Below are 12,999 nucleotides of genomic sequence, written 5' to 3'. Positions count from 1 at the left end.
GTTAGCTCTTCATGCACATGTATTTTCATCACAGCACTGTTCACAATAGCAAAGACATGGCATCAACCTAGGTGCCCATCAGCAGTGGAATAAAGAAAATGTGGTACATATACACAACAGAATACTACACAGCCCTGAAAGAAAATGAAATCCCCAGGCACAGTGGCTCACACCTGTAACCCCAGCACTTTGGGAGGCTGAGGTTGGTGGATCACCTGAGGTTGGGAGTTCGAGACCAGCCTGACCAACATGAAGAAACCCCGTTTCTACTAAAAATACAAAAATTAGTCAGGTGTGGTGGCGCATGCCTATAATCCCAGCTACTCGGGAGGCTGAGGCAGGAGAATCGCTTGAGCCCAGGAAGCGGAGGTTGCAGTAAGCCGAGATCACCCCACTGCACTCCAGCCTGGCGACAGAGCGAGACTGTGTCTCAAAAAAAAAAAAAAAAAAGAAGGAAATCATGCCCTTTGCAGCAACATGGATGCAGCTGGAGGCCACTATCATAAGCAAATTACCACAGAAACAGAAAAACAAATACCATATGTTCTCACATACACATGGGAGCTATACATTGGGTACACGTGGACACATACAGATGAAACATTAGACACCAGAGACTACAAGAAGGGGAAGAGAGGGATGGGGCAGGGGGTGAAAAACCCCCTACTGGGTACCTTGCTCACTACCTGGATGACAGGCTTGAGGGGGAAGAGAGGGACGGGGCAGGGGGTGAAAAACCCCTTACTGGGTACCTTGCTCGCTACCTGGATGACAGGCTCAATCATACCCCAAACCTCAGCACCACGAAATATATCCTTGTAACAATCCTACATGTGTACCGCCTGAATCTAAAGTAAAAGTTGATATTTTTTTTAAATGTGCTCTTGGGTTAGATCTTAGACCATAACAAGGATATTAGTAGGAAAATTGGCAACATTTGAATGAAGTCTATAGAACAGATTGGTGATTCTTAAAGTATGGTGTTTAAGACACTTTCAGGGGGCTGCAAGGTCAAAAGAATTTTCTTTTTTTTTTTTTTGAGGTGGAGTCTCGCTCTGTCACACAGGCTGGAGTGCAGTGGCGCCATCTCGGCTCACTGCAAGCTCCGCATCCCAGGTTCACGCCATTCTCCTGCCTCAGCCTCCTGAGTAGCTGGGACTACAGGCGCCTGCCACCATGCTCGCCTAATTTTCTGTATTTTTAGTAGAGATGGGTTTTCACCGTGTTGGCCAGGATCGTCTCAATCTCCTGACCTCATGATCCACCCGCCTCGGCCTCCCAGAGTGCTAGGATTACGCGTGAGCTACCGCGCCCGGCCAAGAATTTTCATAATGATAGTAAGACTTTATCTTTTAACATTCCCCTGTGACATTTGCGTTAAATGGTACAAAAACAACAGAGGACAAAGCTGCTGGCTCCTTAGCATGAATCAAAGTGGTGGCACCTAATTCTATTAGTAATCACTGTATTCTTCACCCCTACAAGCCCACAGTAACAAGAAGAGAGCCAGTTTCACTTAGGAATGTCCTTGATAAAGCAGTAAAAATTGCTAATTCTATTGCATGTCAACCCTTGAATACACTTTTAAAATGTGTTTTTAAAATTCTGTGTGAGGCCAGACATGGTGGCTCACACCTGTAATCCTAACACTTTGGGAGGCCGAGGCAGGTGGATCACTTGAGGTCGAGAGTTGAAGACCAGCCTGGCTAACATGGCGAAACCCCGTCTCTACTAAAAATACAAAAATTCGCTGGGCGTGGTGGTGGGCACGTGTAGTCCCAGCTACTCAGGAGGCTGAGGCAGGAAAATCACTTGAACCCAGGAGGCAGAGGTTGCAGTGAGCCAAGATCCCGCCACTGCACTCCAGCCTGGGCAACAGAGTGAGACTGTCTTAGAAACAGTCTCAGCTGAGCATGGTGGCTCACGCCTGAAATCCCAGCACTTTGGGAGGCCTAGGCAGGCAGAGATCGCTTGAGCCCAGGAGTTCAAGATCAGCCTGGGCAACCTGGCAAAACCCATCTCTACAAAAAAATACAAAAATTAGCCAGGCGTAGTGGTGCATGCCTGTAGTCCCAGCTACTCGGGAGGCTGAAGTGGGAGGACCACCTGAGCCCAGGAGGCAGAATTGCAGTGAGCCGAGATCATCCTGGGCCACAGAGTGAGACTGTCTCCAAAAAAAAAAAAGAAACAAACAAACAAAACCAGAATCTCACTCTGTTGCCCAGGCTGGAAGATATCACTTCTATGTGGCATCTACACATATAAGTCAAAGTCATAAGAGAGAAGCAGAGAAAATTGTTTTCAGGAGATATTGATCAAAGGGTACAAATTTCCAGTTAAACAAGAGGAATAACTTCAAGAGCTCTATTGTACATCATGGTGACTATAGTCAATAAGAATATACTGTGTACTTAAAAATTGCTCAAGAGATTTTGTGTTCTTATCACAAAAAATAAGTGAAGTATCATGCCTGCAATCACAGCACTTTGGGAGGCCGAGGGGGGCAGATCACCTGAAGTCAGGAGTTTGAGACCAGCCTGAGCAAAATGGTGAAACCCGTCTCTACTAAATACAAAAAATTAACCGGGCATGGTGGCAGATGTAATCCCACCTACTTGGGAGGCTGAAGCAGAAGAATCGCTTGAACCCTGGAGGCAGAGGATGCAGTGAGCCGAGATCATGCCACTGTACTCCAGCCTGGGTAACGAGAGCAAAACTCTGTCTCTTAAAAAAAAAAAAAGTGAAGTAATGCATATTTTAATTAGCTTGATTTAGCCATTCCACAACATATACATATTCCAAAACATCGTGTTGTACACAGTAAATATATACAACTTTTATTTGTCCATTAAATATAAAATGTGATGTCACCTGATGTGCCCAGCATCATCATGTATGACGCTTTCTTGCCAAAATATTTAACTTGATCTTATCAAAACTTTAGATTGACTCTCCAATTTACAGGGGATGCAGGATACAGAGGAACAAATGAAGTGACACCCCCAGAAGGCAACACTCAGATGAATCCAGAAGGTGAGACGTTCTCTAGGACAAGCCCCTATGGTAAAGGGGAAGAAAGGGTGGTGCTAGGCTGGAAGAACCTGAAGGACCTAATGGCCTCCAGTCACACATATCCTCTGCCAGCTGTACAGGACTTTTGTGGACAAATGGGAAATTTATTGATGTGAAAAAATGGAGATGGTTAACTGACAGAGGTTACAAAACAGCACTATAGGCCGGGCGTGGTGGCTTACACCTAGAATCCCAGCACTTTGGGAGGCCAAGGCAGGTGGATCACATGAGGTTGGGAATTCGAGACCAGTGTGGCCAACACAGCAAAACCCCGTCCCTACCAAAAATACAAAAATTAGCTGGGCGTGGTGGTGGGCACCTGTAGTCCCAACTACTCGGGAGGCTGAGGCAGGAGAATCACTTGAACCTGGGAGGCAGAGATTGCAGTGAGCCGAGATCACACCACTGCATTCCAGCCTGGGAAACAGAGTAAGACTGTCTTAAAAACAAAAACAAAAAACAAAACAAAACAAAAAAAAAACAGCATTATGGTATGATCCCACTTTGGTAAAGAATACATACAGTGTATATATAAACATGTAGAAAAAGACCTAGAAGTGGCCTGACGCAGTGGCTCACACCTGTAATCCCAGCACTTTGGGAGGCCGAGGCGGGCGAATCACCTGAATCAGGAGTTCGAGACCAGCCTGCACAACATGGTGAAACCCCGTCTCTACTAAAAATACAAAAATTAGCCAGGCATGGTGGCAGGCACCTGTAATCCCAGCTACTCGGGAGGCTGAGGCAGGAGAATCGCTTGAACCTGGGAGGCAGAGGTTGCAGTGAGCTGAGACTCTTCTCAAAAAAAAAAAAAAAAAAGACCTAGAAGTATATAAAATAAAATAAGGTTCAACAGTGGAGTCTGAGTTGTGTCAGTATTTTCTTGTTTTTATCCTTCTGTACTTCCCTCAACAGTGCACCACATATTCTGCTTTGGTTTTTGTTGTTGTTTGTTGTTGTTTTTTTCTGATTTAGTAATAAAGTTTTTTTTAACATTTTATTTGGAAATAACTATTGATTCACAGAGAACTGCGAAAATAGTATGTAGAATATCAAGTACACTTCAACCAGCTTCCCCCAAGTGTGACATCTTTTTTTTTTTCTGTTTTGTAATTTTAATTGAAGAAATTGCTTTTTTTGTTGTTGCTTTGTTTTTAACAGGGTCACCAGCCTGGCAGTCACAGAAAACGCATTTGGCAACTTCCTGCAACTGTTGTGGAAATGACAGCAGGCCATGGTCCAAGCCAAAATGGAGAAGCCAGGCCTCGCAGAAGAAACCAGCAGGCAGCTCTGGGAGGCCATTTGCACAGAGCTTATTTTGAAGTCTTGGGGTTCAAATCCCAACTCTGCCTCTAGATAGTCACAACCCACTGGATAGAGAATAGTTCAAGCAGAATGTAATTTGAGACTAACAAAGGTGCGCCCAGGATATAAGGAAACCACATAAGCTAATGTTGACCCATGAAGCACCCCCTACACCTGATGGGGCAGGCAGGAAGCGGTTACCAGAGCCCAGAAAGTCAGGTGGGGAAGCACTTGAGGGGCTGTGGCCTTAGACAGAGGCAGCCAGGCTGAGGCATGTGCCTTAGGGGAGCACACATCTCAGCCTCACCCTCCCTGCCTCCTGGGGAACCTTGAGGCCACCAGACAAGGAGCCATTAATGCAGTTCACGCTCCCAGGAGCATTGAGCAGAGAGGAGCAGAGAGGACAAGGGTGAGAAGGGGATCGGAGGCGCTAAGGAAGACACTGGCAGAGCCATTTATTGTGCATCTGAGGCAAGTCACTTCCCCTGCCCAATCTGTTTCCTTGTCTGTAAAACTGGGATGTTACCTCACTCACTTGAGGTGAGGAATAAATTATTTAAAACATATAATGGTGGCTCACACCAGTAATCCCAATACTTTGGGAGGTTGAGGCAGGAGGATCGCTTGAGCCCAGGAGAGATCAGCCTGGGAAACAAAGGGAGACACTGTCTCTACAAAAAAATAGAAAAATTAGCCGGGCACAGTAGCACAAACCTGTAGTCCCAGCTATTCGGGAGGCTGAGGCAGGAGGCTCGCTTGAGCCCAGGAGTTTGAGGCTGCAGTGAGCTGCGATCACACCACTGCACTCCAGCGTGGGTGACAGAGTGAGACTCTGTCTCAAAAAATAAATAAATAAAAATAAAACGTGGAAAGTACCTAGCATGAAGCCCAGTAGGAAATTTTTTAAAAGGCAGTTGTTGTTATTATAACTCAAGTGGGGAGAAATCAGGCTGAGAGAGGTACATTAGAGTTGGCTGAAAGGTACGACAGCGAGGGATGTTTGAGGCAGCCTAACATACACTATGATAAATACCACCACACTCAACAAGCAGCCTCTCTCCCTGTAAAAACATCAGGTCAACCTGGGCAGAGGCAGAAGACTGCACATGCTGCCATTTTAACATCAAGGCAAAAAAAAAAAGTTCTCACTCACTTGGCCCACTCCCATCTCAACCCTTCCTACCCACACAGTGGGGCCAGTCTATTTTAGCAAAAGACCATTTAGTTAAAGGAGGCTGACAAGGAAAGGATCCAGATTTCTCCTTTTCTGTCTTTTAAAAAAAGCCACAGATATAAATAAGCCCAAGACCGTCTGTTTCTGCCACCTTCTAAACAGACCTGTGATGAATTAATATCAGGACCATGGGAGACTGTGACCGAAGGATGGGTTAGGCTGGCCGCAGACCCAGCCAATTCCACAAGCCCAGGCTTTGAAGCCAGTTTGGAAACTAGCCATCAGGAAACTCCACAAACCTCAATTTATCCCAGACAATTTTGGAGGAAAAACCCAAGTCAGCAAAGAATATGGAAATTACTGAGAAGGTACGAGGTCCACGGAGGCTGCATCTTAAAGAATGATTGCCATCGGCCGGGCGCAGTGGTTCACACCTGTAATCACAGCACTTTGGGAGGCCGAGGCGGGCAGATCATGAGGTTAGGAGATCAAGACCATCCTGGCCAACATGGTGAAACTCTGTCTCTACTAAAAATACAAAAATTAGCTGGGTGTGGTGGTGCATGCCTGTAATCCCAGCTACTCGGGAGGCTGAGGCAGGAGAATCACTTGAACTAGGGAGGTGGAGGTTGCAGTGAGCTGAGATCACGCCACAGCACTCCAGCCTGGCGACAGAGCGACACTCCATTTCAAGGAAAAAAAAAAAGAAATTCAAATTTAACTGAGCATCCTATGTTTCAGGGGGCATCCCAGCTCAGGAATGACAAGAACAGTGCTGAAAGGGACACAGCTCAAGCTACAGAGGTCTCCAACTGGTGGCCTCCAGGCCATATGAGGCCCATGCATTGTGTGTTGCTCAGTCTTCACAGTTTATAAAATTGGAACAGGCTACAAACATTTCAAAGAACTTTAAAGGATTTCTTGCCTCTTTAAAAATGGGAAGCTCCAACCATGCAGGTAGAAGCTGCCCCACTATGGGAACATAATGGGGACAGAAGGGAATGTGGAAAAGTGAAAACTGATCACTGACTTGTTAGGATGGAGAAATTGTGAATAAATCTGTTTAGGGGTTGTTTATTGCATAAGGAGTCTGGAAGTGACAATGTCAGTAGCCCATGCCTGGAGAACCGGCCCTCTGCAGGCTCCACTGCTGCGGTCCCAGAAGTGCTGGCTGCAGTGTCTGAAAAACTTGCCCATCTGCACCATCTCTGCCAGACGGACTTGTACTTCCCTCTTTCCAGGCACAAGATGAAGGCCTCTTGCCATGGGCTGGAGAAATCAGTCGCTACAACACCCCTTGCAGACACAGGCTGGAGCTGCAAGTCCTGGGAGAGACCTGCTCTATCTTCTCTGGCAATTGTGGCCACTACTAGAGGAGCTCAGGCAGGCAAAATCTAGGAAAAGAAAAAGAAGATTGAGCCAATGGCTAATACATAACAGAGCCGGGATTTAAACCCAAGTCTAGCTCCAGAGCCTATGTTTGTTTTTAACATTTTTAAAAAGCACTTTCGGAGGGTGAGGCAGGAGGATCACTTGAGACCAGGAGTTTGAGATCAACTCCAGCAACATAGTGAGACCCCTATCTCTAAAAAAATTTAAAAATTAGCTGAGTGTGGTAGCACGCACCTGTAGTCACAGCTACTCAGGAGGCTGAGGTGGGAGGATTGCTTGAACCCGGAAGGTGGAGGCTGCAGTGAGCTAAGATCGCACCATTGCACTCCAGCCTGGGTGACAGAGCAAGACCCTGTCTCAAAAATAAATAATAAAAAAATTGTCATACAATAAAACTATTTTTTTATTTTGCTGTACAGTTCTATAAATCTGGGTTTTTGTTTTGTTTCGAGACGGAGTCTCACTCTATTGCCCAGGCTGGAGTGCAATGGTGCGATCTCAGCTCACTGCAGCCTCCACCTTCCAGGTTCAAGTGATTCTCCTGCCTCAGCCTCCCAAGTAGCTGGGATTACAGGCACGCGCCACCACGCCTAGCTAATTTTTGTATTTTTAGTAGAGATGGAGAGATGGGGTTTCACGATGTTGGCCGGGGTGGTCTCAAATTCCTAACCTCAGGTGATCCACCCACCTGGGCCTCCCAAAGTGCTGGGATTACAGGCGTGAGCCACCATGCCTGGCCCAGTACATTCATATAACCACTACGGCAATCATGACACCCCAAACACTTCCTTGTGCGATCCCTTTACATCCACATCCGCCACCCATCCTAACTTCTGGCAACACCATCATCTCTTCCCTTCATCATACCTTTGTCTTTTCCAGAATGTCAAATAAATGGAATCACACAGCATGTAACCATTTGAGGCTGGCTTCCCTCAGTCAGCATCGCATCTCTGGGGTTCATCCAAGTTGTTGCACAATCACTAGTTTATTCCTTTTCACTCGGATGAAGATGACTATTACTTATCGGGGGACCTGCCCTGATAATCACGTAGGTTCTTTTCTATTTTCCTAAGCATCAGCTGGCTTGAGAAATAAAGGGACAGAGTACAAAAGAGAGAAATTTTAAAGCTGGGCGTCCGGGGGTGATATCACACGTTGGTAGGATCCGTGATGCCCCACAAGCCACAAAAACCAGCCAAGTTTTTGTTAGGGATTTTCAAAAGGGGAGGGAGTGTGTGAATAGGCGTGGGTGACAGACATCAAGTACTTAACAGGGTAATAGAATATCACAAGGCAAGTGGAGGCAGGGCGAGATCACAGGACCACAGGACCGAGGCGAAATTAAAATTGCTAATGAAGTTTCGGGCACCATTGTCATTGATAACATCTTATCAGGAGACAGGGTTTTGAGATCAACCAAAATTTATTAGGCAGGAATTTCCTCTTCCTAATAAGCCTGGGAGCGCTATGGGAGACCGGAGTTTATTTCACCTCTGCAATCTCGACCATAAGAGACAGGTACGCCCCGGTGGGGCCAGTTCAGATACCTATCCCTAGGTGCACATTCTCTTTCTCAGGGATGTTCCATGCTGAGAAAAAGAATTCAGCGATATTTCTCCCATTTGCTTTTGAAAGAAGAGAAATATGACTGTTCTGCGCGGCTCACCAGCAGTCAGAGTTTAAGGTTATCTCTCTTATTCCCTGAACAATTGCTGTTATCCTGTTCTTTTTTCAGGATGCCCACATTTCATATTGCTCAAACACACATGCTGTACAATTTTTGTAGTTAACGCAATTATTACAGGGTCCTGGAACGATATACATCCTCCTCAACTGACAGGATTAAGAGATTAAAGTAAAGACAGGCATAGGAAATCACAAGGGTATTGATTGGGGAAGTCCATGAAATCTTTACAATTTACGTTTAGAGATTGCAGTAAAGACAGGCGTAAGAAATTACAAAAGTATTAACTTGGAGAACTAATAAATGTCCATAAAATCTTCACAATCCACGTTCTTCTGTCATGGCTTCAGGCGGTCCCTCCGTTTGGGGTCCCTGACTTCCCGCAACAATTACTGACCTAACCCTGTGGTCAAGCATTTAGAGGACACATTGTCTCACTTGATCCTCACAGTAACTCCAGGAGGAAAGACATGTTATGCCCACTTTACAGATAGGAGATCTGGGGAAGTTACTGCTGTCTGCCAGGAGCTGGGAATAAGCCCAAGCTCCAAACCATTTGTAAAACTGCTCTGTTCCCAGAAAATGAGTAGTGGGGTATGGGGGAGATAATACCACCACCTCTCAGCTAAAATTCTGGAAGACATTGTGAATCTCTTATTTTTTCCCACAGCTTTCCAGAAATGCTTGTGTGGGTTTTTCTTTGTTTTTGTTTTGTTTTTATTTTGAGATGGAGTCTCACTCCATTGTCAAGGTGTAGTGCAGTGGTGCAATCTCGGCTCACTGTAACCTCCACCTCCAGGGTTCAAGTGATTCTCCTGCCTCAGCCTGCCAAGTAGCTGGGACTACAGGCACGGGCCACCACGCCCAGCCAATTTTTGTATTTTTAGTAGAGACGGGTTTTCACCATGTTGGCCAGGATGGTCTCAATCTCTTGACCTTGTGATCTGCCCGGCTCGGCCTCCCAAAGTGCTGGGATTACAGGCGTGAGCCACCGCGCCTGGCCATGCTTGTGCTTTTACCCATGCAGTTGGTGAGGGTCTTAAGCAAAGGCCCTTGGAAATTAGGGGCCTAGGATAGTACTGGTTCACATCCCAGCTTTCAAGAACCACCTTCAAGGTACATGAACTCACCAAACCTCCCTGAGCCTGTTTTGCTATCTATAAAATAGGGTAATAACAGAGTTGGGGTATAGATTAAATGAGATAATAGCACAATATTGGCACGTGGCAAGCACCCAATAAACCTCATTTCACAGATGAGGAAACTGAAGCTTATAGAAGGAAAGGACTCCTCAGTCAATAAGACAAAGAGGTAAAACGAGACTGAAGCATCAAATGTTTGGTGGGACTGGTAGGAGCTAAAGCTAGAGACGGGTTGCCAATAGTTTGATCATTAGAGGCCTACAACTGCCTTGGAGCTCAGAGAAGCAACAGCAAAGCTGAGACTATGGGTGTGGCTGGGAGTTCTCCAGGAAGCTTCTCTGGCCCCTGGCTGGCAGGTATTTGGGGCCATTTCTGACCTCAGTGGTATCTCATCAACACAGAAGTCCAGCAAAAGCATTTGAGCTTTTAAGAGCCAGAAATTATCTCCTTCCTGTATCCATTAGACTGCATTGAAGTAACATGTTGCAATTAAGCCAAGGGTTACAAATACAAGTGCCAGGCCAGGCACGTGGGTCATGCCTGTAATCCCAGCACTTTGGGAGGCCTAGGCAGGTGGATCACTTGAGGTCAGGAGTTCGAGACCAGTCTGGCCAACATGGTGAAACCCCACCTCTACTAAAAATACAAAAATTAAGGGGCACCGTGCAGGCTTCTGTAATCCCAGCTACTCAGGAGGCTGAAACAGGAGAATCCCTTGAACCCAAGAGGCGAAGGTTATAGGGAGCTGAGATTGCACTCCAGCCTGGGGGACACAGCAAGACTCCGTCTCAAAAAACAAAACAAACACCCCACAAATACAAGAGCAGACTGACAGAATCAAATGCATGCTCTGCCACTTAACAGCTGTATGACAAACTATATATACACATATACATAGATGTATATGTACATGCATGTATATACTATACACATAGGCAGTACCTGTTAGGCACTAAGTAAAAACATGGCCAGGCATGGTGGCTCATGCCTGTAATTCTAGCACTTTGGGAGGCCAAATAGGGAGGATCCCTTAAGCCCAGGAGTTTGAGACCCGCCTGAGCAACAGTTTCTATTTAAAAAAATAAAAAACAAGATAAGGGAATAGAAAGTGATAGAGATGATTAGACAGTTCCCCAGAGGGAGTGAGAGCAAATACCTGAATGACACAAGGCAGAGGGCTGTGCAAAGCTCTGGGGGTCTAGGGCTGATCATTCCAGGCAGTGGGAAAATCAAGTGCTAAGATACTGAGGTTGGAGTAATCCTAAAGGAATGGAGAAGTCAGGGGGCCCATGTGGCTAAGATTGAAAGGGAAGAGATGAAGTTAGAGGTTAAGGGAAGGGGAAGATCATGTAGGCCCTGATGGACTTTGGCTTTTACTGTGTGAGGTGGGGAAGACACTGGAGGCTTCTGAGCAGAGAGCTCCATACCTAATTCAGGTTTTCACAGATCGCTCTGGTTGCATCTCAATTGATCGTAGGGAGCAAAGGCTGAAGTAGAGACCAGTATTCCAAGCTTGTTTGATGGTTTGTACCAAGGTGGTAGCAATGAAGACGCTAAGAGGGGGTGGGTTTCAGATGTATTTTGAAGGTAGAACCAATAGCATTTGCCAAGGGATTCACATGGTACATGAGGTTGATTCCACAGCTCCTGACCAACTGGACTTCTGGTGTTGCCAATACCTGGGAAGGGAAGATCGCAGGAAGCACAGACTTGCAGGGAATGGGGTTAGGTGAGTGAAGCATCAGGCATTTAGTTTTGGACATGTTAAGTCAAATGCACAAATAAGTCTGAAAATGTAGGCTGGGGCCAGACATAAACGCTTCAAATGCTACGTGGAGAAATTGAAGTAGCATCAGTTGACTTAGGTAATGGAGATGCCCATGTCAGGACCTTTAGAGTGGGCATTATAGAGTTGTGAATTTACTGCTTTGTAGCAAGTTATCTCAAAACCTAGTGGCTTGAAATACATTTCCCATAGGTCAGAAATCCAAGCACAATCTGGGTGGGTCCGCTCTCAGGGTTTCTCACAAGCCTCCGCTACAGAAAGACGTGCTTACAAACTCACATGGTTGTTGGGTAACTCCTCCCACACTAATGGTTCAACCTCAGTTGATTGCTACGCTGGCCTCTCCCAACATGGCAGCTTAATTAAAAGTGAGCAAGCTAGGCCAGGCGTGGTGGCTCACGCCTGTAATTCCAACACTTTGGGAGGCTTGACGCAGGCAGATCACTTGAGGTCAGGAGTTCAAGACCAGCCTGGCCAACATGGTGAACCCCCTCTACTAAATATACAAAAATTAGCCAGGCGTGGTAATCCAAGCTACTCGGGAGGGTGAGGCAGGAGAATTTGCTTAAACCCAGGGGACGGAGGTTGCAGTGAGCTGAGATCTCAAAAAAAAAAAAAAAAAGTGAGCAAGCCAAGGAGAATGAGAAAAAGAGCTAGCAAGTCTCAGAAGTTACACTAGGTCCAGCCTAGTCAAGGGGAGGGGATTCTGAGTCAATACCAGGAGTCATTTTAGAAATCTAGAGGTCCCAGGCTGGGCGCAGTGGCTCATGCCTGTTATCCCAGCACTTTGGGAGGCCGAAGTGGGCAGATCACAAGGTCAGGAGATCAAGACCATCCTGGCTAAAACAGCGAAAACCCGTCTCTACTAAAAATACAAAAAATTAGCCGGGCGTGGTGACGGGCACCTGTAGTCCCAGCTACTTGGGAGGCTGAGGCAGGAGAATGTGAACCCAGGAAGCAGAGCTCGCAGTGAGCTGAGATCATGCCACTGCACTCCAGCCTGGGTGACACAGCGAGACTCTGCCTCAGAAAAAAAAAAGAAATCTAGAGGTCCCATCTTTGAGGTGAGATTTTAAGATACTTAAAAAATTATTCACTGTGTATTTTAAATAAAAAATCATCACATATTGATAAATGATGCAGCCTATTTTTGCAATTTCCTATGAAGTTTATAAACAAATACCATAGCCCACATCATCCTTACTCATCTCATGCAACCATTAAGGCCTAATACCCACGATTTAACATACACGATCTTGTGCAGGTGTAAGCATACAAGTGAGATACCTCTGTATTGACCCTCTGCTTTGAATTCTGGCCCAAGTGTGCTTGCTTATTCTTAGGTTTCCAATGCAGAAGCCAATCACGAGGCACAATACCTGTGGAAAGCAGGCTTTGCCCACAGAAACCAACTGCCCACTAGGGTGATTCTCCCCTCAAA

General features: G+C 46.1%; 6 annotated features.

Annotated features, from left to right (window-relative positions):
* Nucleotides 4,659-5,221: an enhancer, noted in NCBI's record as "H3K27ac-H3K4me1 hESC enhancer chr20:47913664-47914226 (GRCh37/hg19 assembly coordinates)". NCBI's record gives its function as "activates a minimal SCP1, AML or CMV promoter by ChIP-STARR-seq in primed H9 embryonic stem cells {active_cell/tissue: H9 hESC(primed)}" and the evidence as "EXISTENCE:reporter gene assay evidence [ECO:0000049][PMID:30033119]".
* Nucleotides 6,322-7,254: an enhancer, noted in NCBI's record as "H3K27ac hESC enhancer chr20:47911631-47912563 (GRCh37/hg19 assembly coordinates)". NCBI's record gives its function as "activates a minimal SCP1, AML or CMV promoter by ChIP-STARR-seq in naive H9 embryonic stem cells {active_cell/tissue: H9 hESC(naive)}" and the evidence as "EXISTENCE:reporter gene assay evidence [ECO:0000049][PMID:30033119]".
* Nucleotides 7,255-8,188: an enhancer, noted in NCBI's record as "OCT4-NANOG-H3K27ac hESC enhancer chr20:47910697-47911630 (GRCh37/hg19 assembly coordinates)". NCBI's record gives its function as "activates a minimal SCP1, AML or CMV promoter by ChIP-STARR-seq in naive H9 embryonic stem cells {active_cell/tissue: H9 hESC(naive)}" and the evidence as "EXISTENCE:reporter gene assay evidence [ECO:0000049][PMID:30033119]".
* Nucleotides 8,189-9,122: an enhancer, noted in NCBI's record as "OCT4-NANOG-H3K27ac-H3K4me1 hESC enhancer chr20:47909763-47910696 (GRCh37/hg19 assembly coordinates)". NCBI's record gives its function as "activates a minimal SCP1, AML or CMV promoter by ChIP-STARR-seq in naive H9 embryonic stem cells {active_cell/tissue: H9 hESC(naive)}" and the evidence as "EXISTENCE:reporter gene assay evidence [ECO:0000049][PMID:30033119]".
* Nucleotides 10,767-10,866: an enhancer, noted in NCBI's record as "active region_18060". NCBI's record gives its function as "activates an Ori minimal core promoter by ATAC-STARR-seq in GM12878 lymphoblastoid cells {active_cell/tissue: GM12878}" and the evidence as "EXISTENCE:reporter gene assay evidence [ECO:0000049][PMID:35858748]".
* Nucleotides 11,902-12,011: an enhancer, noted in NCBI's record as "active region_18059". NCBI's record gives its function as "activates an Ori minimal core promoter by ATAC-STARR-seq in GM12878 lymphoblastoid cells {active_cell/tissue: GM12878}" and the evidence as "EXISTENCE:reporter gene assay evidence [ECO:0000049][PMID:35858748]".

This window comes from Homo sapiens, chromosome 20 (assembly GCF_000001405.40).
Source record: "Homo sapiens chromosome 20, GRCh38.p14 Primary Assembly".
NCBI lineage: Eukaryota > Metazoa > Chordata > Mammalia > Primates > Hominidae > Homo > Homo sapiens.
This window is presented reverse-complemented; position numbering and strand designations above follow the sequence as displayed.